The sequence below is a fragment of the Homo sapiens genome, chromosome 7, assembly GCF_000001405.40.
Source record: "Homo sapiens chromosome 7, GRCh38.p14 Primary Assembly".
Taxonomy (NCBI): Eukaryota; Metazoa; Chordata; class Mammalia; order Primates; family Hominidae; genus Homo; species Homo sapiens.
The window spans coordinates 149,189,380-149,212,542 of record NC_000007.14 but is presented as its reverse complement, the minus strand read 5'-3'; the positions used below and the strand labels follow the sequence as shown (position 1 = coordinate 149,212,542).

General features: G+C 50.0%; 1 protein-coding gene across 3 annotated transcripts in view, besides 7 other annotated features; it reads right to left on the bottom strand.

The window, feature by feature from the left end:
- Positions 1–16,997, bottom strand: part of ZNF282 (zinc finger protein 282) — a 30,698-nt gene extending 13,701 nt beyond the window's left edge. For 2 of the 3 annotated variants that reach the window (NM_001303481.3, NM_003575.4), the window contains exons 1-6: positions 16,789–16,997; positions 13,791–14,210; positions 5,721–5,847; positions 5,073–5,192; positions 1,839–1,958; positions 72–185 (exon numbers count right to left, since the gene is read on the bottom strand). In NM_001303481.3, coding sequence (NP_001290410.1) covers positions 72–185; positions 1,839–1,958; positions 5,073–5,192; positions 5,721–5,847; positions 13,791–14,210; positions 16,789–16,953 — 1,066 coding nt within the window. In that variant the 5' untranslated portion in view covers positions 16,954–16,997. Of the gene's footprint in view, positions 1–71; positions 189–1,838; positions 1,959–5,072; positions 5,193–5,720; positions 5,848–13,790; positions 14,211–16,788 lie in introns of all 3 variants that reach the window. The other variant, XM_006716151.5, reaches the window with a different exon arrangement.
- Positions 2,488–3,202: an enhancer, noted in NCBI's record as "NANOG-H3K4me1 hESC enhancer chr7:148906433-148907147 (GRCh37/hg19 assembly coordinates)". NCBI's record gives its function as "activates a minimal SCP1, AML or CMV promoter by ChIP-STARR-seq in naive and primed H9 embryonic stem cells {active_cell/tissue: H9 hESC(naive and primed)}" and the evidence as "EXISTENCE:reporter gene assay evidence [ECO:0000049][PMID:30033119]".
- Positions 9,070–9,570: an enhancer, noted in NCBI's record as "H3K27ac hESC enhancer chr7:148900065-148900565 (GRCh37/hg19 assembly coordinates)". NCBI's record gives its function as "activates a minimal SCP1, AML or CMV promoter by ChIP-STARR-seq in primed H9 embryonic stem cells {active_cell/tissue: H9 hESC(primed)}" and the evidence as "EXISTENCE:reporter gene assay evidence [ECO:0000049][PMID:30033119]".
- Positions 15,930–15,979: an enhancer, noted in NCBI's record as "active region_26812". NCBI's record gives its function as "activates an Ori minimal core promoter by ATAC-STARR-seq in GM12878 lymphoblastoid cells {active_cell/tissue: GM12878}" and the evidence as "EXISTENCE:reporter gene assay evidence [ECO:0000049][PMID:35858748]".
- Positions 16,420–16,779: a silencer, noted in NCBI's record as "silent region_18752". NCBI's record gives its function as "represses an Ori minimal core promoter by ATAC-STARR-seq in GM12878 lymphoblastoid cells {active_cell/tissue: GM12878}" and the evidence as "EXISTENCE:reporter gene assay evidence [ECO:0000049][PMID:35858748]".
- Positions 16,900–17,221: a silencer, noted in NCBI's record as "fragment chr7:148892414-148892735 (GRCh37/hg19 assembly coordinates)". NCBI's record gives its function as "represses an EF-1alpha promoter that drives an FKBP-Casp9 reporter gene in an ReSE screen in HepG2 liver carcinoma cells {active_cell/tissue: HepG2}" and the evidence as "EXISTENCE:reporter gene assay evidence [ECO:0000049][PMID:32094911]".
- Positions 16,900–17,329: a biological region, named in NCBI's record as "ReSE screen-validated silencer GRCh37_chr7:148892414-148892735".
- Positions 17,040–17,329: a silencer, noted in NCBI's record as "silent region_18751". NCBI's record gives its function as "represses an Ori minimal core promoter by ATAC-STARR-seq in GM12878 lymphoblastoid cells {active_cell/tissue: GM12878}" and the evidence as "EXISTENCE:reporter gene assay evidence [ECO:0000049][PMID:35858748]".

Below are 23,163 nucleotides of genomic sequence, written 5' to 3'. Positions count from 1 at the left end.
AATTATTAATTTAATGATTCCTTTTGAAAAACACTTGTTGCCCTCAAGATTCATTCTGACCTTGTTCTCACCTGAATTGGGATCCGTGGGAATATCTCTGTCTGCCAAATCCTGCTGATCCCACACGCACTGATGCTCCTCCTGTTTAATCCGGGACAAGAGGTCCTGGGCAGAAATTGGGGAGTCTACTTGCGGGAACAAGAGCGGCAAAGGTGTTAGAAGATGCGAAATCTCCTGCAAGTTTGTGTTTTGAGTAAATCTCTGATTTCATGCAATTATCTCTTTCCCCTAAACATCAGGTACAATTACATAAGTCTCATTAACTAAAGGTTGAAGTCAGCTTGGCCCCAATTAACGGAGCTTTTGCTGCAAATAAGAGGATGCTGCAGGGGAGTAACATTACAGTCTTTAAGAAAGAGCCTTTCTGTGCTGCAGGAACTTAAATCTCCTTAGAATGAGGTTCCCATTCTGGTGCTGAGACCACCACAGAAAGAGGTATTTCCTCTGGAAAGATGAAAACTTCCAGAAAGCCTCTTTTTTTAAATTATATATTGACAAATTATAGTTGTATATATTTATGGGGTATAAAGTAATGTTACAAGAAGCCTTTAAATCTTTTGAATGGGATTTTTCTAAGATGTAAGAAAAAGACCCTATACTCTCTTTCTTCTACAGAGTCTCTGAAACCTAATTTACACCTTATTGCCTTCTTATCTCTTAAAGATCTCCTTAAAGATCCTAATACTGTGATGCTTTCAAGGGTCATGCCTGATGACAAGTGAACGGGCTTTCCTCTACCCAGACACTATGAGCACTTACCTATGGGTGTGAGGCTCTGACTAAGGGGGGGATGAGGTTTGTGGAGCTCTAACCTGTGGATAAGTAAAGGGCTACAGTATGTTAATATGTCTCATGATTGTTGATTTTATGTGTCAACTTGGCTCGGCCACGGTACCCAGATATTTGGTCAAACATTATTTAGCTGTTTCTATGAAGGTATATTTTTAGATGAGATTTGAACATGTAAGTCAGTAGACTTGAGTCAAGCAGATTGCCCTCTATGATGTGGGCGGGCCTCATCAACCAGCTGAAGGCCTAAGGGAAAAGACTGGCCTCCCCCAAGGAAAAGGGAATTCTGCCTGCAGGCTCCAGCAGCCACATCAGCAATTCCCTGGGGCTCTAACCTGCTGGCCTGCCCTGTAAATTTTGGACTTGCCGGCCTCCACAATCACAAGCCAATTCCTTAAAATAAAATAAATCTCTCTTTTCCACACACACCCTTACAGGTCCTGTTTCTCTGGAGAACTCTGATTGATACATACATCTGCTATAACAGAGCTCTCACCTACGACAGAGTCCAGCTGCAATGCCAGCTAAGAGGAGGTCCCTCACAGGACCGCAGGTATGTAGGTGCCTGGCACAGAGGTAGCAGCCCATAAATACTTGTTTAAAACAATGAAAGGCCTTCCTGGTCAGGGCACAACAGGTCTTCCTGACCTCCCTGTTCCCCCACCCATGAAGCCTTACACTTAGTACTTCTGCCAGGATATTGTTTCTAAAGGGGAAGATGGAATAGTTACAAACGGATAATATGAGGAAGAGAGGAAACAGAACACGCTGAGCCCAGGTGTACCAGCAAATTGTCAATGCTGTTTGCCACGTCTGTGTCTCCTGGAGGAATCCTGGCTCAGCCCAGCCCTGGATGCACAGCCCTTCCATTTCGAGCTCAGCCCTCTGGCCTGGCACATGTGACAGCTAACTCTGGGGGCTGGCAGACCATGCTAACCCTCTCCCCTCCCCTCCCCTCCCTGGTGTGGACGGCTGCTTGGCTCACTCACCGGTAATGGATTCCGTAGGGATGGCTCTTTCCTCCAGGCCCCGCTGACCCCGGACACACAGGGTGTCCTCACGCTTCACCTGGGAGGACGCATCCTGCGCAGGCACCAGGGGCTCTGCTCCTGGGGACAGAGAATGACATTGCTTTGTGTCTTTTTTTCTGCAGGCACCAGGAGCTCTGCTCCTGGGAACAGAGAATGACATTGCTTTGTGTCTTTTTTTCTGCATGCTGGTCACCAGGACATTCTGGGCTCAGAAGCATGGCTGACAGCACTTGCCAGGGGAGAAGACAGGGGTCTCGGGTTCCTATTGGAACCATGGGGGACCCTGAGGAGCAGAAGGTCTCAGGAGCAGAGAGGAAGCCAACATTCAAGAAAAAGGGCTAGGCAAGCAGCAAAATGAGGGGTGATGACACTGAAGAGAGAATTCAGAAACAACCTAGAGCTGTGTAACTGGCTGGGTCCTAATCAGGACTGGGCCACAAGTTGGACCTCTCTGTGGGAGTCATTAGTCCTTGTTAGTCACCCCAGTCAGAAAGAGCTGGCCAGGTTGAGGCCAGATGCACACACACGTGTATATATATGATTTGTGAGAAGCGGGGATGGGCAAAAAGGCACAACTAAGCTCTATTGTTGGACAGATAGTGCAGAACCTCCTTATACAGCCAGTCTCACTGTCGTCAGCAGGTTCTTGGAAACAGTGAGTTCAAGTGAAATGACACATAGCAGATCCTCAAATAACATCATTTCCTTCTATGATGTTTAGTTATAACATTGATGAGAAAGAAAAATTGGTTGTGTTATATGTCACTTTAAAGCCACAGTTTCCGAGACCCTATCAATGACATTAAGTGAGGACTCACTGTGCATAAAAGACAAGGACATAGCCTCTACACAGAAGCCCAGCATGCAACAAACAGGGCCTTTTCTTCTGATGGCGCCCCCTGCTGCAAGAGGAGGCTCAGGCACCAGGAAAGAGAGAAGACAAAGAATCTGAAGACTGGGATCCTGCCTTCAACTCCGCACCAACTCAGTGGATGAGTCATTTAGCCTCTCTGGGTTCCGGTCTACCCTTTTCATCTACAAAAAGGACACAGTGATCCCTGTTCTATCTCATGCTCAGTGATGGTTTGATAACCAACTGAAACTGTTGAGATTACAGTGCTTCAAATGTAAAAATCTACCCCATAAGACTAGGTGCTGTTACTACCGCTGCTGACCTTAAACTTCTGCAGTCCTTGATGAAGACAGGGAAGGAGCCATTTAGAGGAAATGCCCAGGACAGGCAAATTCATAGATATGGACAGTCGATTAGTGGTTCCCAGGGGCGGGGGGTGGTAAAAGAGAGCAGGGAAGGACTGCTTGTGGGTGTGGGGTTTCTTTTTTTTTTTTGAGACGGAATCTGTCTCCCAGGCTGGAGTGCAGTGGCACAATCTCGGCTCACTGCAAGCTCCGCCTCCCGGGTTCACGCCATCCTCCTGCCTCAGCCTCCCGAGTAGCTGGGACTGACTACAGGCGCCCGCCACCACGCCCGGCTAATTTTTTGTGTTTTTAGTAGAGACACGGTTTCACCGTGTTAGCCAGGATGCTCTCGATCTCCTGACCTCATGATTCGCCCTCCTCGGCCTTTCAAAGTGCTGGGATTACAGGCGTGAGCCACCGCGCCCGGCCCTCTTTTTTTTTTTTTGAGATGAAGTCTCCCTCTGTAGCCCAGGCTGGAGTGCGGTGACACAATCTTGGCTCACTGCAACCTCCACCTCCCGGGTTCCAGCGATTCTCCTGCCTCAGCCTCCCGAGTAGCTGGAATTACAGGTGCACGCCACTGCACCCGGCTAATTTTTTGTATTTTTTAGTAGGGACGGGGTTTCTCCTTGTTGGCCAGGATGGTCTTGAACTCCTGACCTCAGCTAATCCGCCCACCTCGGCCTCCCAAAGTGCTAGGATTACAGGCGTGAGCCACCGTGCCCTGCCGGGTGTGGGGTTTCTTATGGTAGAAATGTTCTGGAATTAGATAATGATTTTGGTTGCATGACTTTGTGAGCCACTGAATTGCATTCTTTAAAACAGTAAATGTTATGGTCTGTAAATCACATCTCAAAAAAAGGAAAGACTGGGAATGGGAGGAGGAGAGAGTGTGGCCTTGAGAGCTGCATTCTAAGATGAGTTTCAGGAAAATGTTCTCCACTTAAAAACAACGGAGGACACGGCCGGGCATGGTGGCTCACGCCTGTAATCCTAGCACTTTGGGAGGCCGAGGCGGGTGGATCACTTGAGGTCAGGAGTTCAAGACCAGCCTGGCCAACATGGTGAAACCCTGTCCCTACTAAAAATACAAAAATTAGCTGGGCGCAGTGGTGTATGCCTGTAGTCCCAGCTACTCGGGAGGCTGAGGTTGCAGTGAGGCTGAGGTTGCAGACTTGAATCTGGGAGACGGAGGTTGCAGTGAGCTGAGATTGCACCGCTGCATTCCAGCCTGAACCACAGAATGAGACTCTGTCTCAAAGAAACAAAAAACAAAAAAACAAGGGAGGACAGAGGGCCCAGACAGGCAAAAGTTCCTCCAATGAGGTAGAGAACACAGTTTGAGCACCAGATTTCACCTAATCCAACAATGCTCAGGAAAGCTGACCCTGAGGAAAGATTTCCAAGGCAGAGGCAGGCCTAGAACCCTAGGGCCTTCCACCCTTTCCACCCCAGCAAGAGCTCATCAAGTGTGATGTGCTCGGGGGGCCCGATTTCCTCAGGCTTAAGATTCCTTCTTGAGTGAGGCAAGCGGCTTGCAGGGCGAGCCTGCAGGTGAGCCGCATGTGTCGGCCGACGAATGAGGTGATGACGCTGTACATTAGGCCAAGCAATAAGCGACGGGCCGGGGCGAAACCCCACATGCGCCGCAGACTCCTTTTTCCCTCCTCTGTCAGCCTCTCTGAGCCCGGGCCTGGGGCGGTAGCGTAAGCCTAAGCCCTTCCTCGTCTCTCCACCCAGCTTACTTGAGAGTCCAGAGCTACGCGGCTTTAACAAACCACACCACAAATATCCAGGGTGCTATTTTGAGCCCTGAGATCTCTTCCTATAAGTGACCACCAAATTTCGACTCTGGCAGAACTGGCCCCTGGGAGCCACCCAAGACCCTCGCCCCATGGTGCACACACAGTGGCGCCTCGCGGCAGCAGTGTGCGGAAAGCCGGCTGTCCTCTCTCGCCCTTCCCTGGACCCCGCACTCTCTTCTGCTGCCATCACCTGCTTCGGGATCCATTGGGATTTCTCTCTCTTCGGGGTGGCGCTGCTCCCACACACAAGGTTCTTCCCTGGGCTCAGCCTGGACTGGAGCATCTGGCTTGGGGACTGAGCCCTCCGCGTCTGGAAGTGAGGAGGAGGGAGGGAAAGGCTGAGTGAAGTTGACCAACGCATCCAGCAAGGGGAAGGGAGAACTCTCCCCTACCCCATCTCCCCCTCTCCTCCTGGGTGTCCCTCTTTGGCAGCAGTTATGCGAGTTAGGCGGGTAATCTGAAAACGAGTCGATAGATGCCCAAATTTCTACTGTAGGAAGAGCTGGTCTCTGAAAGCCAACATCAGACCAGCTATGGCTTACCGCGGGCTGCTGGGATGTGGTGCGTGGTGAGGTGCGAATGGTGCTGTTTTACTGTAATCCAACGTGGTAGTGGTGTAACGTTGAGTTCTATGGTAATGGGCCCTGTTACTGGGTTTTAAATTTTTATCCTATTGTAAACTGTTCTATCCTACTAGCATTATAAGCAAATGGTTTCCTGAGTTTCCATTACATAAAAATATGAAACAACCTGCCTAGGCGGTGCTAACGTGGACAAATAAGCATTTCACAACCCTCTGCAGAGATGGCTCACCAAAGAGGAGAGAAGGTGTCCTTACCCAGGGACATGAGGGTTTTGTAGTTCTCCTTAACAAGGTTGTTATAAAGCTCCTTCTGCCATTCGTCCAAGTTCTTCCACTCGTCTTCGGAGAAGTACACAGCAATGTCGACAAAAGTCACTGGAACCTAAGCCAACAAGCGGTTAATCTAGCGCCTCCTGCCTGTTCCTCCCCACCACCTCCCCTTCTCCTGCGGGCCACAAGACCCACTCCCCACCAAAGCCCGGCCTTTGCTCTCCGTGGCTCCCCAGTCCCCACTGTCCATCTCAGTGGAGTCAGTCCTCTCTGTCCCGGACCTTCTCATGCTTTCAATAACACGGATGGTCAACCCTGCCTTTTTAGAAAAAGCATTTAGCCACATCCATTGTTATTTCACTTTTAGGTCAACTGGATACCTGAGGGTAAAGAGTAGTCAATATGCTTCTTTTGGTATTCAGGGTGACAGAGGGGTAATGGGTTCTCAGAGTGGGTATCCGTGAGCCAGGTAGAGTAAAACCTGGTTACCAAACCTGTATTTCAGGTCAGGTCACCTCTGTGCACACAGTTACCTCTTTGTCAGCAAAGCATATAAAATCTAAGGCCTGTGCTAAGGTTCAGGACCTTGGTCCACTTCGTTCACTACCCTATCTTGATCATCAAGGAGCATACAGTAGGGAATCAATAAATACTTGAGTGTGCTGCGCAGCGAGTGCCAACACCAGGAAGCTCCACTGCGGCCCGAGTCGTCGCGTGGTGTCAGTCACTTGTCAGACTGATGACAAGTGTGTTCGGATCTGTTACAGAAAGCCGATTTCAGTTTGCAATCACTCACTTCAGCCACTCACCAGCACGACCTCAACTTGGACCGAATTGTCCAAAATCGTTTCACTTCCATGACTTTGATAACTGAACTTCCTCCTCTGGACACACAGCCTTCCCTCTTACCACTTTCACATTCCGACTGAACCAGCCTTTCACTCTCGGTCTGAAATCCGACCCCTCAATCCTCCCCCATCCTGTGATTACAGTCCATTCATCTACGTATCTGCATTTACAGGGCCAAAGCTGGCTTGTATGGCACCTTGGGGTGAGTTAGAAAAGGCAAAGTCAGGAGCACAGCTACCACTACTCAGCATGGTGAGTGGGCAGCACCTTTATGTAAGTTAGAAATGTCAGCCCTTTTACCAGGTGCTTGTAACTCTGAGAATGCCATGCGCAGGTGCGATGTCTACACCTCAGTGCCATGGCCCCACCCCTACGGACTGACAACTCACTGTCCATCTTTACAATCAGAACTAGAATCTTTAGCTACTGGACCTTCCACCAGATGCAGGAAAAGCCCCAACCTGGGAAAATTAATACAGATCCCTTTCTTCATTTTATTTTTATTTTTATTTATTTATTTTTTGAGACAGAGTCTCGCTGTCGCCCAGACTGGAGTGCAGTGACGCGATACCAGCTCACTGCAACCTCTGCTTCCCGAGTTCAAGTGATTCTCCTGCCTCAGCCTCCCGAGTAGCTGGGATTACAGGCGCTTGCCACCACGCCCGGCTAATTTTTGTATTTTTAGTAGAGACGGGGTTTCGCCATATTGGCCAGGCTGGTCTCAAACTCCTGACCTTGTAATCCACCCACCTCAGCCTCCCAAATTGCTGGGATTACAGGGGTGAGCCACTGCACCTGGCCTCTTCATTTTGTTTTTTATTTTTATTTTTTTGAAACGGAGTCTCGCTCTGTCTCCAGGCTGGAGTGCAGTGGCACAGTCTTGGCTCACTGCAACCTCCGCCTCCCAGTTTCAAGCAATTCCCCTGCCTCAGCCTCCCCAGTAGCTGGGACTATAGGTGTGTGCCACCACGCCTGGCTAATTTTTTTGTTGTTGTTGTTATTTTAGTAGAGACAGGGTTTCACCATGTTAGCCAGGATGGTCTCGATCTCCTGACCCCGTGATCCGCCTGCCTTGGCCTCCCCAAGTGTTGGTATTACAGGCGTGAGCCACCGTGCCCAGCCCCCTTTCTTCATTTTAATTCTCTGTTACTAGAACTCCGCAGATGACATCCACCACCAATTCATACCGCTGTCTCACGGCTGCTTCAGAAGCTTCTTGTTTGTCTCTTGCTGACACCTTGCTATGTTCTCCGGGAGGCTTGTTTCAAACGTTTCATTCTCCCAGACCTTTAAGTGACCTCCCACATCTGTCTGTCTTTGATCTCAGGTAGGCGCCGGCAAGCTCCTTTCTTGCCCCTCTCCTTGCAAATCCAAGGCCGACGGTATGTGCCCTTCACCTCTTCCTCCACCTCCTGCCTGTGAAGCTTAATCTAAGTCATCAGTTTCTCCCTCTCTACTGGCTCCGTCCTTCAGGGTCATTCCAACCTCAGAAAAACCTTCCCTCAACACGCTGCTCCCTCAGGTCACTCTGCCCTCCCCATTCACTGGGAACATCCCAAGAGACACATTCTGTTTTTTCCTCTTCACCATCTATGCATTCTTTACCCCCTTAGATTCTGCCTCTGTACCTTCCATTCTCTGAAACCACACTCTGGAAGATCATCAGCGACCTTCTGTTGAAATCCTCAACAATTCTGACCTCTTCGAAAGGTCAAATCATCTTTCTAGAATTTTATCCTGCTTGGTTCCCGTAATTATGTTGCCTCCCGTCCATCTGGCACGTGTCTTTTTTACTTTTTCCTCTTCCTCCCCCAAGACCACGTGCCTCCCACCAACAGGTACGTGAGTGAGCCATGCCGGAATCAGGCCCTCCAGCCCCAGTCAAACCTTCAGATAACTGCTGCCCCATTCAACAGCTTGACTGTAACCTCATGGGACTCTGAGCCAGACCCACTCACCTAAGCTGCTCCCCAGTTCCTGACCCACAGAAATGGTGAGATGATAAATAATTATTTTTTAGGCTGGGCTGCTACATTTTGAGGTAATCTGTTATACAGCAATAGGTAACTAACACAATAATCTACATAGTGTCTTCCCACAAATAAAATTAATTAATCCTCACAACTCCATGAAGTAAGCATATTATCATCTTCGTTTTATTGATAATAACCCTGAAACTCAGAGAAACCAGCTGGGAATTTACTGAATTGTTTATACTTCACTTCCTTCAAAAGAGGAATTAAGGAGGCTCAGAAACAACAAAAAATACATTTGACCAATGATAGGAAAATCAGTACAAGCAGGCCTCATGCAGTGGCTCAAGCCTATAATCCCAGCACTTTGGGAAGCCAAGGCAGGAAGACTGCTTGAGCCCAGAAGTTCAAGACCAGCCTCGGCAACAAAGCAAGACCCTGTCACTACAAAGAATAAAAATAAATAAAAAACTTAACTGGGTGTGGTGGCATGTGCCTATAGTCCTAATTAATTGAGAGACTGAGGTGGAAGGATTGCTTGAGCCCAGGAGTTCAAAGCTGCATGAGCTATGATTGTATAACTGTACTCCAGCCTGGATGACAATGTGAGACCGTCCCAAAAAAACAAAAAACCAGTAAGTGGCAAAGTCAGGATTTAAACCCAAGTCCTCTGATTCCAGACCCCAAAACCATTTCATTATTCTGTAAGAGCCCTTGTCAAGTCAAGTCTCCTCTAATGCCTAATGCAGCGCACAGAACACGCCACAGTGCCACACAAGGATATGCGCTGAGACACACAGAACAGACAAAAGAAAAGGGCAGTGTGTACGTAAATGCTGATTGTGCTAGACAAGCGACATATGCAAAACCATACTAAAAACCAGCCTCTGTGGCTGCAGTGCCAGGAAATGTTTTGCTGAGGAACCAGAGCCACGATTACAACTCAGTTCTGTGAAGCCTCAATGAGTAACGTCAAACAACTCCTCTGGCAAAGTCATTGGGGTGGTTGCCTCAGCAGACACAGAGACACACAAGACCCAGTCCCTGCCAGGAAGCTGTTAGCTCTCCAGCTGGAGAGAGGCACTCCACAAACATTTTTTGCATACCAGTCTAAGCCAGGTACCATTCCAGGCACAGGGATGCAGCAGGCAACCAAGCAGAATTTACACTCTGGTTGGGGAAAACCAACCAAGAAGACAAAAAAAGCAATACAAAACTTAAGAATAATATCATAAGGCCAGGTGCAGTGGTTCACGCCTGTAATCCCAGCACTTTGGGAGGCTGAGGCGGATGGATCACTTGAGGTCAGGAGTTTGAGACCAGCCTGGACAACATGGTGAAACCCTGTCTCTACTAAAAAATACAAAAATTAGGCCAGGCGCGGTGGCTCACACCTGTAATCCCAGCACTCTGGGAAGCCAAGGCGGGCAGATCACGAGGTCAGGAGTTCGAAACCAGCCTGACCAACATAGTGAAACCCCGTCTCTACTAAAAAAAAATAGAAAAATTAGCCGGGCGTGGTGATGTGTGCCTGTAATCCCAGCTACTTGGGAGGCTGAGGCCGGAGAATGGTGTGAACCCGGGAGGCAGAGCTTACAGTGAGCCGAGTTCGCACCACTGCACTCCAGCTTGGGCAATAGAGCAAGACTCCGTCTCAAAAAAAAAAAAGAAAAATTAGCCGGGCATGGTGGCACATGCCTGTTATTCCAGCTACTCGGGAGGCTGAGGCAGGAGAATCGCTTGAACCTGGGAGGCAGAAGTTGCAGTGAGCCGAGATTGTACCACTGCCCTCCAGCCTGGGCAAGACTCTGTCTCAAAAAAAAAAAAAAAAAAAAGAAGCATATCTTAAATATTTAAGATGTCAATGGCAAAAGTGCTTTGTAGAAAATTCGAGTAAGGGCAGGGAGACGAGTGTGCTTGGGGGACGTGGTTCTTTCATATAGGATGGTTGTAGAAGGGCATGCTGATGAAGTGGCACCTCAGCAGACCCTGATGGAAGAGGTGGCGAGGACGGCCATGCAGATATTCAGGGCAGGAGCTTCTCAGTGGAGAGTCCCTGAGCTGGGGGCGCACGTGGTGTGCTGGCAGAACAGCACAGATGGGAGTGAGCAGGAGGGAGTGGATGCAGAGGAGGTCAGAGAGGCAGGGGAAGAGAGCGTGGGCCATAAACAGACATGGGCTTTTATTCTAATCAGATGGGAAGCCATTTGGGAGGTGTTTTTTGGGTTTTTTTTAAGACAGATTCTCACTCTGTCACCCAGGCTGGAGTGCAGTGGTAAGATCTCAGCTCACTGCAGCCTCTGCCTCCCAGGTTCAAGCAATTCTCCTGCCTCAGCCTCCTGAGTAGCTGGGATTACAGGTGCCTGCCACCATGCCCAGCTAATTTTTGTATTTTTAGTAGAGATGGGGTTTCACCATGTTGGCCAGGCTGGTCTTGAACTCCTGATCTCACATGACCCACCTGCCCGGCCTTCCAAAGTGCTGGGATTATGGGCGTGAGCCACCGTGCCCAGCCATTTGGGAGGTTTAAGCAGAGGTGTGATGTGACTGCTTCACATTTTCAAAGGATCACTCTGGCTGCTGTGTTGAGATAGACTGTATGGGTGGGGGGACAAGGATGAAGACAATGAGACCCACCAGGAGGCCATGGCAAAAATCAGATGAAAGACCATGGTGCCTGGGACCAGACGATGGCGATGGGAGTGGAGGTGGTGAGGAGTGGCCAGGTTGTGGATATATTCTGAAGAAAAATCAGGGTATTTACTAATAGATTGGAAGTAGGGTGTGAGAAAGAGAGGAGACAAGTATGACTCCAAGGCTTTGGCCTGAGCACTTGAAAGGATGGAACCATCCGTCATCAACGGAGATGAGGACAACTTCAGGTAGAACAGGTCTCAGGCAGGCGATCCGCAGTTCACTTTGGACATGTTAAATCTAAGATTTACTGACATCCAAATGAATTAATAGGTAGGAATGTGAATCTGGCATTCCAGAAAGAAAGCTGGGCAACATATAGAAAGGGAGCAGGGGAGAGAAAGCATCTATTTGGGAGGTGAGAGCATACAGATTGCTTTTAATAATGTGAGACTAGCTGGGCGTGGTGGCTCACGCCTGTAACCTCAGCACTTTGGGAGGCCCAGGCAGGTGGATCACCTGAGGTCAGGAGTTCGAGACCAGCCTGGCCAACATGGTGAAACCCCGTCTCCCCTAAAAATACAAAAAATTAGGTGGGCATGGTGGCAGATGCCTGTAATCCCACCTACTAGGGCAGCTGAGGCAGGAGAATCACTTGAACCCTGGAGGCAGAGGTTGCAGTGAGCCAAGATCACGTCACTGCACTCCAGTCTGGGCAACAGAGCGGGACTCTGTCTCAAAAAAAATAAATAAATAAATAAATAATAAAGACTGTGAGACGGGATGCAGTCATGAGGGAGGAGAGTAAATAAAGAGCAAAAGGCCAAGACAGAGGTCTGGCCCACTCCATGCATTAGAAAGCTGGCCAAAGGAGGCAAAATTGGCAAACAATGAGACACAGCAGCTGGTGAGGTAGGAAAAGACTCAGCAGAGAGAGGTGTCCCAGAAGCCACGGCAAGGGGTTTCACGGAGAGAGTGGTCACCTACACACAATGCTGCTGACAGGACAGGGAGGATGAAGACTGAGAAGCAACCACTGGCTGTAACACCACGGACATCATTAGTGAGCAAAGGCCTGATCAGAGTGCGTTCCAGAGAGAAAGATCCAGTTACCAATCAACTGGAATACTGAGAATAGAGGAACATGTTAAATGAGACCACAGGGGACGTAATCAGTGGAATCCAGACAGCGAGATGCAAAACAGGACAGGTGGCCCAATTCCTTCCAGATAAACTGAAAGGAAAAATAATAGATGGAAGAGATGCCCGCAGATTAAAAAAGACTTAAGAGACATCTCAAACATAATGTGTGGACATTACTTGAATCCTAATTCAAACTAAAAAAATGTTTTTAAAAATTGAAACAACTGAAAATCTAATCACTGGCTAGACAGTGATCTAGGCTGAAGCTTTTACTATGGTGGTGGTGGTAATAACATTGAGATTATCACTTAAAAAAAAAAGAGTCTTTACCTTTTGAGCTAATACTGACATATTTGCAAAGGAAATGACTAATGTCTGGGGTTTGCTTCAAAATAAAATGGGAGTGGGGAAGTGGGCAGGGATTTAGGTGAAACAAGACTGGCCAAGAGTTAGCAGCTAATGCAGCTGGAATTTGGATACATGGGGACCCATTATACTATTCTGTCTATTTTTATTTGAATATTCTATAATAAAGAGAAGGGGAAAAGGGAGGGAAGGAGAGAAAATGGGGAAGAAAGAATTGGAGACAACAAGTATAGACAACTCTTTCAAGGGGTTCTGCTCTAAAGAGGAGTGGAGAAATGAGGCACCAATGCAGGTAGATGCAGGGCCCAGGGAGGTTTTCTGTTAAAGACGGACAGCAGGACAGAACAGTCACATGCTGGTGGGAATAGCCCAGCAGAGGGGGGAGAGCTGATGACTCAGAGGAGAAAGGAGAGAGACGCTGGGGGTGACCTCCTGGGGTGGGCAGGGGACATCAAGCCACAGGAACAAGGGAAAGCAGAGTCTGTGGCCACCGAGCAGCAGATGGAAGAACAAGCTGGCTGCATGTGGACGCCTCTTCTGGGTGACTCCGTTCTCTCAGTGAACTGAAAAGCAGCATTGAGGATCCGGGAGGAAAGCAGGAGAGGGAACGGAGTAAGATACGGAGTGTGCATTCTGAACTTTAAGAAGGGCCCCCCTGAGATAAGTGACTACGACTTGAAAGCAACTCCAGGCAGCCTGGTTTGAGGTGCGACTCCAGCCACATTCCGGTGAGCATATACCAAGACAGCCAATGACACATGATCGCTGGTAGGTGTCAAGTGGGAAAACCAAGGAGTGAAGAGCTGCAAGAACTTGCAGACAACCAGACAACTCAGAGGGGTCTAGGAACAGCGAGAGCAAAGGCTCCCAGACAGAAATGCAGACTGTGGGGAATGAATGGAGTGAGCCTTGCTGGGGTAGAACGTCCAAGACCAGGTTGTTTCAGTGGAGACAGGCTTTAAGAAGACACTGAAATTGGATAACGGGGAGCCAGAGAAGTTTATGAGAAGGGCTGACAAAATGAAATCAAGAATTTTATGCACCTGTGCTGTTCCTCACCTCTATCCCTGCCCCAGGGACCACCACATACCTTGGGGGCCTCCCCCTTGCTGCCCGGGGGCAGCCGCAGGACCCAGAAGTTCCTGTTGCGCAGCAAGTTCTCCAAGTTCTCCAGCCGCCTCTGCAGCAGCCCGTACTCCTGCAGCAGGGTCCCCAGCACGGCCCACTTGCTCTCCATGTGGTTCCCAAATTCCACGGCCGTCTTTTCACAGTCGGCCAGCTTCTTCTCGGCTGTCCCCGTGCGCCCCTCCAGGTTCAGCAGCTGGCTGGCCTGGGCATCCACCTTCCTCTCCACAGCCTGAATGGCAGCCACCACAGTCCAGAGTGAGATCTCTGCTGTGGGCAACTGGGGCTCTCGCATCATGCGGTCGGGGAAGACAGGTGCCCTATCTGGAAAGGGTGGGAACTGAAAAGGCATTGGCCGCCGGGCGTCCATGTCCCATTCTTGAGCCTGTATGCAGAGGGAGAAAGCGACAACCCAGGATGAGACCTTGTGTGAGCCGGGGAAGTCAGCTGGGAACAGGGGTCAACTAATCAGATGCTACATGTCGTCTTTCTTCTGCCAGGCCCCCGTAACTCAGGATACACTAACACCCCCAGCAACAGCTACCCACTCACCCACCCACCCAACTCAACACTCTCCCATCTCCTGCCTAGGTGAGTCAGGCTGGTCACTGGTTCACCCACATTGACCCTTAGCAAGTTAAGGCTGCAACCCCTGCCTAAAATGTCACAGGCCACTTTCTTTGAATAGACCAACTGATTTCTTCAAGGGCTAGCCTTAATGACGAACTTTGTATTTGCCTAGTGTTTTATGTTTCCAAGAACTTTGATGTAAGTTAGCTGACGCTAATCTTCCCAGCAATCTCTCAGCAGGTTAGGGCAAGAATGATGATCTCTGCCTTAAAGATGATGAAACTGAAGCACAGGGAGGCAGCTGGTCACTCCGCAGCGCCTCCCTGCACTGCCAGCTGGGGCAGCTCTAGATGCTGCAGGTAACAAAAAACACATTCCTGGCCAGGTGCAGTGGCTCACACCTTCCCAGCACTTTGGGAGGCCAAGGCAGGCAGCTCACTTGAGGTCAGGAGTTCAAGACCAGCCTGGCCAACATGGCGAAACCCTGTCTCTACTAAAAACACAAAAATTAGCCGGGTGTGGTGGTGGGCTCCTGTAATCCCAGCTACTTGGGAGGCTGAGGCAGGAGAATCGCTTGAACCTGGGAAGCGGAGGTTGCAGTGAGCCGAGATGGTGCCACTGCACTCCAGCCTGGGCAACAGAGCAAGACTCCGTCTCGGAACAAACAAATAAACAACAAAAAAACCCACCACATTCCTACCAGGGCTGCAGTCAAGGAAAAGACCGGAGAGCCCAAGCTAGGGCAGAAAAGCAGCTTCCCCCCATATACAACTACTGTTTCATAAACATTTTCCAAATTGAAAATAGGTTCACTAAAAAAGGTCACTCATTAGAGGTGAAGAGGGGATGTCCCTCACACCCAAGAGGACCAAGAGAAAGAAAAACTCCTCTGGGACCCCTCCTTGCTTCCTGGGGAAGGGGTGCCCCATGGCCTGGGGACTCCCCCTTTTATCTTCCAGCACAGAGCCCTCACCCCAGAAGGGTAAACTAATTGGTGCAATTGAGAGCTGAGACCTATGGCTAAGGGGGGCTGGTTGAGGCTGGTGACAGTTCACTGGTCATCTGGGACCTGGTGTCAGACTCAGGGCTCACTGGACCACATGGGCTGGCAGCCGACTCTCCTTCACACCTGGGACAGGAAGAGGTGTCATTTTCTGTCCTCCCGATGGCTGCAGAAAAGGCCCTCAGGCTAGGAAAAGGGGAGGCCTGCTGCTTGGGGCGATCTGGGCAGACCAGCCCCACTCTCTGACTCAAGAGCAGCCCTGCTCCGGGGCAGACCTGCTCCGGGACACAGCAGAGTGGAGAGCAGGGCCCTAGGATCGCCAGGCCCTGTAATACCAGTAAGAGGTGCTGGTGTTTCCATCAAAAGCACCCATTCCTCCATCACAGAGGCTCCACTCCGCCCTAGCCCACAGAAGGGGACAGAGTCCACAGTAGAAGTTAAGAAAGTCCCGGGGCCCAGTTTAGTTTTCTCGGGTTTGAAGCCCTAACCCTGAAAATGATCAAACACAACACAGCAGCCCCTGGCTCCCTCGTTAGCACCTGGCTGAGAGCCGCGTGGTGAGCAGAGGGGCCCCTGAGCAGCCCAGCCCCAGGGTGGGCCCAGAGAGTCTTCCCTGGGCAAGCTTTCAGGCCTCTCTGAGGATCCACCTCCCCTGGTTTTATACCCAATTCTGGAGCACCGGTTCTGCCCACGGAGATCATCGATGGAGCCTGAAGAAATGCCTGGTGCTACTCTCACCCGTCAGAGACCCTGAGCTCTGGGACCAGGCAAGGGCTCAGGAGTCTTAAAAGCTGCCCAGGCCATTCCAACATGCGGCCAAGTTTGTCAACCGCAGGAAAGACCCCGAAGTCATCTCTCCATGGCCCCCTCCCTGGATCACACCCGGTGCAGGGGGAGAGTGAATTACTCATTACACTTGGTGAAAGGTGGTAATCAAACATTTAAAAAATATCCCCGTCAAATTGGCCACCGTGTAAACACGAACGAGGCATTCACTTCTGCGGCCGGGCGGAAGCACTGCCCGCGAAGCTCTCCGCCGGCCGGGCGCAAAGGGAGCCCCAAGCCGGGGCTCAGCCACAGGGTCAGAGCTCTGCCAGGTCCCGGAAAGGACGGTCCCGGCCCCCGCCCCGCGGGGCCTCCGCACTTGGGCCCGGCGACCGCTGCTCCGCGCCGCGCGGGCCAGGCCTGCCCTTCCGGGCCTGCGTCGGGCCCGCTCCGTCCTGCCCGCCGCGCAGCCCGGCCGTGCCCCGCCCGCCTCGGGCCTCGCCTGGGCGCGGAAGCTGGGAGGGCGCCGCAAGGCTACCGGAGGACGGCGCGGCCCGGTCCCGCGGCCCAGCCCGCGCCCCGCCCCCACGGCAGCGCGGCCATGGCGCCGGCGGGGTTCTCCCACCTGCATGGGCGGCATTCCCTCGGCCATTTCCCCGCGCAGCGCCGGCTCCTGGTGGCAGACCTCCTCCGGGGGCAGAGCCTGGGCCCAGCTCCAGCTCCCGCTGTCCAGCCCCAGGCCCTGGATGCCCAGCTGCTGAGGCTGCGGCCGTGTTGACACAAACTGCATCCTGGGAGTGCTGTTCCCCGCTCGGGTCGGCCAGGGAGAAGAAGAACGTTTTCCAGGCGCCTTCCCCCTCTCCGGGGCCGGACAGCTCCATCTACAGCCCGTAGGAGCAAACAGTCCCCTTCGGCGGCGCTCCCCGCCCCTTGGCAGCCCGCGCGCCAGCCAATGGCCTCGGAGCTCCTGCCCGCCTGCGGGGACCTACCGGGGCCACTCCCGGACTGGGGTCGCCACCGCCCCAAAACTGAGAGGCGGCGGCCTCGCCCAGGGGTCAGGCCCCCTCAATCTGGGATGGCCGACTTTAAAGGCCCAAACTATGCGAGGACCTGGACTGTGGGCTTGATTACTGTTAATTCTGCAAATGTATTGGGCATCCCGGGAGAAAATAGTGCCTGACCCTTGTGAAAATTTTGCAGGAGTAATTCTGTCTTCAGACACTTTCTTCTGGCCTTCTGCCTTCCCTCACTCCTTTGCAGACTTTACCTCCCACTCCCCTTCTTCCCAATCCAGATTTACCTGGACCCATCCCAGAGCTTTTGCACTGTTATGGATGATAGAGAAGTGATTCATGTTAAGGTGTCAAAAGAGGGCTGAGCTCTTTCTCCCAGGTAAGGTGCAGTGCATTTTAACAGTGGCCTCTTCAAACACCTTGAAATTGGGTTGGGCGTGGTGCCTCACACCTGTAATCTCAGCACTCTGAGAGGCTGAAGCAGGAGAACGACTTGAGCCCAGGAGTTCGAGACCAGACTGAGCAACATATTGACACCCCATCCCTATAAAAAATAAAAATTAGCCGAGCGCGGTGGCTCACATCTGTAATCCCAGCACATTGGGAGGCTGAGGCAGGCGGATCACCTGAGGTCAGGAGTTCGAGACCAGCCTGGCCAACATGGTGAAACCCCGTCTCTACTAAAAATACAAAAAGATTAGCCGGGCGTGGTGGCGTGGGCCTATAATCCTAGCTACTCGGGAGGCTGAGGCAGGAGAATCGCTTCAACCTCCGAAGCGGAGGTTGCAGTGAGCCAAGATCGCGCCAGTGCGCTCCAGCCTGGGCAACAGAGCGAGACTCCATCTCAAAAAATAATAATAAGGCCGGGCGCCGTGGCTCACGCCTGTAATCCCAGCACTTTGGGAGGCCAAGACGGGCGGATCACGAGGTCAGGAGATCGAGACCATCCTGGCTAACACGGTGAAACCCCGTCTCTACTAAAAATACAAAAAAATTAGCCGGGTGTGGTGGCGGCGCCTGTAGTCCCAGCTACTCGGGAGGCTGAGGCAGGAGAATGGCGTGAACCCGGGAGGCGGAGCTTGCAGTGAGCCGAGATCGCGCCACTGCACTCTAGCCTGGGCAACAGAGCAAGACTCCGTCTCAAAAAAAAATAATAATAATAATAATAAAATAAAAAATAAAAATTACCCGGGCATGATGGCTAATGCCTGTACTCCTAGTTACTCAGGAGGCTAAGGCTGTAGGATTGCTTGAACTCAGGAGTTGGAGGTTGCAGTGAGCTGTGATTGTGCCGTTGTGCTCCAGCTTGGGCGGCATAGCAAAGATCCTGTGTCAAATAAATAAATAAATAAACCTTTAAATCGGGCAGTCATGGTGGCTCACACCTGTAATCCCAACACTTTGGAGGCCAAGGCTGAGGCCAGGAGTTCAAGACCAGCCTGGGTGACACAGCGAGATCCCTTCTCTACAAATAAAACCCTTTAAAGGCAGGTCAGTGTCACTTTGAAACATCAGGCCAGGTCAGAGGAGGAGCCAGGGAGAGGCCAGTATAAGCTGATGAAGATGGAGGAGGGGAAAATTCAGTCATTCCAAATGTATTTATTGAACACCTACTGTGTGCCAGGTACTGTTTAGGAAGAGGGTGAGCTTTGCAGTTGCATACACCTGAGTTTAAATCCCAAAATCACCACTCACTAGCTATGACTTTGAGCAACTTATTTAACTTCTCTGAGCCTCATTCTCTTCATATATAAATGAAGAAAATAATGGCAACTCTATTTTAATGTTGTAAAATTAAATGAGAATTGTGCCTGGCACATAGCGAGCATTCTGCAAAGATAGTTACCCCCAAAAGGTGTTTTTGTAATTATTCTCAAAATAGTATTTACTTTGTTTTCCTAAAGGACCAGTCCCTGTCTTGTTAAGGAAGAGATCTCTGAGGCTCATCACCTTGTGTGGAAGCAGACCTGCTAGTACCTTTAAGTTCCACTGCACTTCATAAAATAAAGGACATTATTGGCCTACGTGAGACATGTGCTTAGAAGGCCATATTCAGAAGAACAGTTACCAAGTACTTTCTCTGCTAGGCACACTTCTAGGATACAGAAATGAGTATTCACAGACTTAAGATTATCCTCAAGGAGCTTATAGGCCAGTAAAGTCCATGCTCCCAGAAGTCAGTGATTTCCTTCCCTGCTTCCTGGCCCTGATTGTAAACATCACGTCCACTTTTATTAGAGGAACCAGGCAAGTTAAGTCTGAAAAGCTCTAGGCAAATTCATTTCCACCAGCGAGCCACATTTCAGAACACGTCTTCTGCACTGTAGATTATCAACTATCTTTTCTCTTTCCTAGAGGTGATAAAGGAAGGACTAGGTTAGTCCCAAACATTTATGCTATCTTTTCTGTATAAAGCCTTTAAAATGACTTCCCTTCCTAAGCACTTAACTAGTTATAACGATGTCCTTTGTTACATAGTAAGACATCGCTGTAGTGTGTCTACTTCACATTTCTCCTTCACAGCGGGTGGATTTTCATGCAGCCATCAACACTATCACCCTTTGTGACCAGAGTAGTTGCTCAGAGCTAGAGGTCCCATTCATTGTTAAGATGATCCCAGTACTTTGGGAAGCCGAGGCGGGCAAATCATGAGGTCAAGAGTTTGAGACCAGCCTGGCCAATATGGTGAAACCCCATCTCTACTAAAAATACAAAACTTAGCCAGGCATGGTGGTGTGCGCCTGTAGTCCCAGCTACTCTGGAGGCTGAGGCAGAAGAGTCGCTTGAGCCCAGGAGGTGGAAGTTGCAGTGAACCGAGATCCTTCCACTGTACTCCAGCCTGGCGACAGAGCAAGACTCGGTCTCAAAAAAAAAAAAAAAGAGATATATGAGCAAAGCTACTCAACTCAAACAATTTAAATGCACAGGCTTCATTGTACTTGCAATATTTTATTTTATTTATTTTTGAGACAGAGTCTCACTCTGTCACCCAGGATGGAATGCAGTGGCTCAATCTCGGCTCACTGCAACCTCCGTCTCCCAAGTTCAAACAATTCTCCTGCCTCAGCCTCCCGAGTAGCTGGGATTACAGGCGCTTGCCACCATGCCCAGCTAATTTTTGTATTTTTAGTAGAGGTGGGGTTTCACCATGTTGGCCAGGCTGGTCTCAAACTCTTGACCTCACATGATCCACCCGCCTTGGCCTCCCCAAGTGCTGGGATTACAAGCATGAGCCACCGCACCTGGCCACTAACATTATTTTATAACCACCAAGCCTAGCAACCACAGGCCATAAAAGGCCGTAGTGGATACCAGCAGGAAGGTAGTGAAGGGAGTGATTAAGGAGAACTTCCCAGAAGGAAAACAAGCAGGGAATGAGGAGGAAGCTGCTGTAGCTGCACAGGCTGTGGGCCCCGTTATAGGTCCTCCCATGATCAACGGACTGATGAGACAGAGAGATCCCCAAGAGTGGGAGAGACCCTGCACTGGGAGAAGTGTTCAGTCATAAGACTGGTTTCCGGAAATCACTGGGTGACTAGGAGACAGTTATCTAACGTACCGAGGAGCAGAATGAGCAACTGGATAAAGTGGATTATAAATGCCATGTATCACGGTTAACACACGTTTCTTGTTAGGGAAGGACCCAGGCCTGGCCCCTCAGTCTCTCAGGTGGGAACTGACTGCTTTTCATCCCCTCCCCTAGGAATTTTATTGTTACTGCTCTGGACAGGATATTTGAAGTGATAGATGCTGAACTAAAGAATACAGGAGAGGCCGGGCGCGGTGGCTCACGCCTGTAATCCCAGCACTTTGGGAGGCCGAGGTGCGCAGATCACGAGGTCAGGAGATCGAGACCATCCTGGCTAACACGGTGAAACCCCATCTCTACTAAAAATGCAAAAAAATTAGCCGGGCGTGGTGGCGGGCGCCTGTAGTCTCAGCTACTCGGGAGGCTGAGGCAGGAGAATGGCGTGAACCCGGGAGGCGGAGCTTGCAGTGAGCCGAGATCGCACCACTGCACTCCAGCCTGGCGACAGAGTGAGACTCCATCTCAAAAAAAAAAAAAAAAAAAAAAAAAAAAAAGGTATACTTCCGTTTGCGGCGCGGCTTCTTTCTTTCCGTGCCGATAGCGCTCACGCAAGCATGGTTAACGTCCCTAAAACCCGACGGACTTTCTGTAAGAAGTGTGGCAAGCACCAACCCCATAAAGTGACACAGTACAAGAAGGGCAAGGATTCTCTGCATGCCCAGGGAAAGCGGCGTTATGACAGGAAGCAGAGTGGCTATGGTGGGCAAACTAAGCCGATTTTCCGGAAAAAGGGCCAAGTGATCCAGTTCTAAGTGTCATCTTTTATTATGAATACAATAAAATCTTGAGTTTATGTTCACTTCAAAAAAAAAAAATACAGGAGAGGCCAATGGAGAGGGGATGCATCAACGCCAGAACATTTATGTCTACTATTTCCTAAAGATTTCTGGTGCTCTGCGTCTTTCCAACAACTGCAATAAAGCTTTATTTGAGGAAGAAAACCTCTAGATTCACTGTTAGTTAAGTGAAGAGGGTAACCAAATTTGCACTCCTATCTTGGTTTTTTGCCCCATACCTAATTTAATGAGCAGGCTACGAAGTACAATGTGGTCACCGGGATAGGGAAAGGAAGGCAGCTCAGCTTCTCAGGCTTCCTCCACCACTGGCATGTCCCTGGTCACAGCTTTCCACCTTCATTTTAGGACACTGTGCCTAGTTATGCCAAACTCCAAGGAAGAGTAACTCTTTTTTTTTGGAGACAGAGTCTTGCTGTGTCACCCAATCACTGCAACCTCCGCCTCCCGGGTTCAAGCTATTCTCCTGCCTCAGCCTCCCGAGTAGCTGGGACTACAGGCACGTGCCACCATACTCAGCCAATTTTTTTGTATTTTAGTAGAGACGGAGTTTCACCATGTTGCCCAGGCTGGTCTCGACTCCTGAACTCAGGCAATCTGCCTGCCTTGGCCTCCCAAAGTGCTGGGGTTACAGGCATGAACCACTGCATTGGACCAAGCAACAATTTAGGTTACAATACAAGTGACAGCCTCAGTGTGATAAAAAAAATCAGAGGCAGGGCTTTATGGAGGGGATGGGCACTAGGAGTAAGGTGACAAAGCTCCCAGACCACTTAAAGGGGCAGAAAGTATTAATGTGGGGTTGGGGGAGAAATACAGTCAAATATTTTGTATTATAAAGTTTTAGGGCAATTTGCTCTAGCAAAGGCATTTTTTTAATATCTCTGCCCTTTACAGACCCTCCTTTTGGCAACATTTTATTTCAAACTTAAACACCCAAACACATACATGTTCTCCTTCTCTTATTTCTGAAAATTTTTGCTTTATACATATGCAATGTTTGGAGAAAATACTTTTTTCCTCTTGAGTTCATTCTCAGTCTCCTTCAAATAAGCATTTCATTACCTTTACAAGTTTTGACACTGTAGATGAGTAAAGTTCACTGGCTTCTCATCAGTTCTTAGTGACTCCATGGTATCTCTCCACTGCTCAGGTAACTGAGTATGCTACTAACATACTAACACAACAGACACCTAGGGCTTAGAAACTCTTTATGCAGATGACAGGTTTTATGTTGGTAATTGCTATATGTTCTCTTGAATCTCCTCAGTAGACAACCTTTCGATTTCAACTTTTTTTTTTTTTTTTTCCTTGAGACTGAGTCTGGCTCTGTTGCCCAGGCTGGAGTGCAGTGGTGCGATCTCCTCACTGCAACTTCTGCCTCCTGGGTTCAAGTGATTCTCCTGCCTCAGCCTCCCAAGTAGCTGGGATTACAGGCATGCGCCGCCATCCCCGGCTAATTTTTGTATTTTTAGTAGAGACGGGGTTTCACCATGTTGGCCAGGCTAGTCTCGAACTCCTGACCTCAAGTGATCCACCTCAGCCTCTCAAAGTGCTGGGATTACAGGCATGAGCCACCGCATCCAGCAACCTTTCAAGTGCAG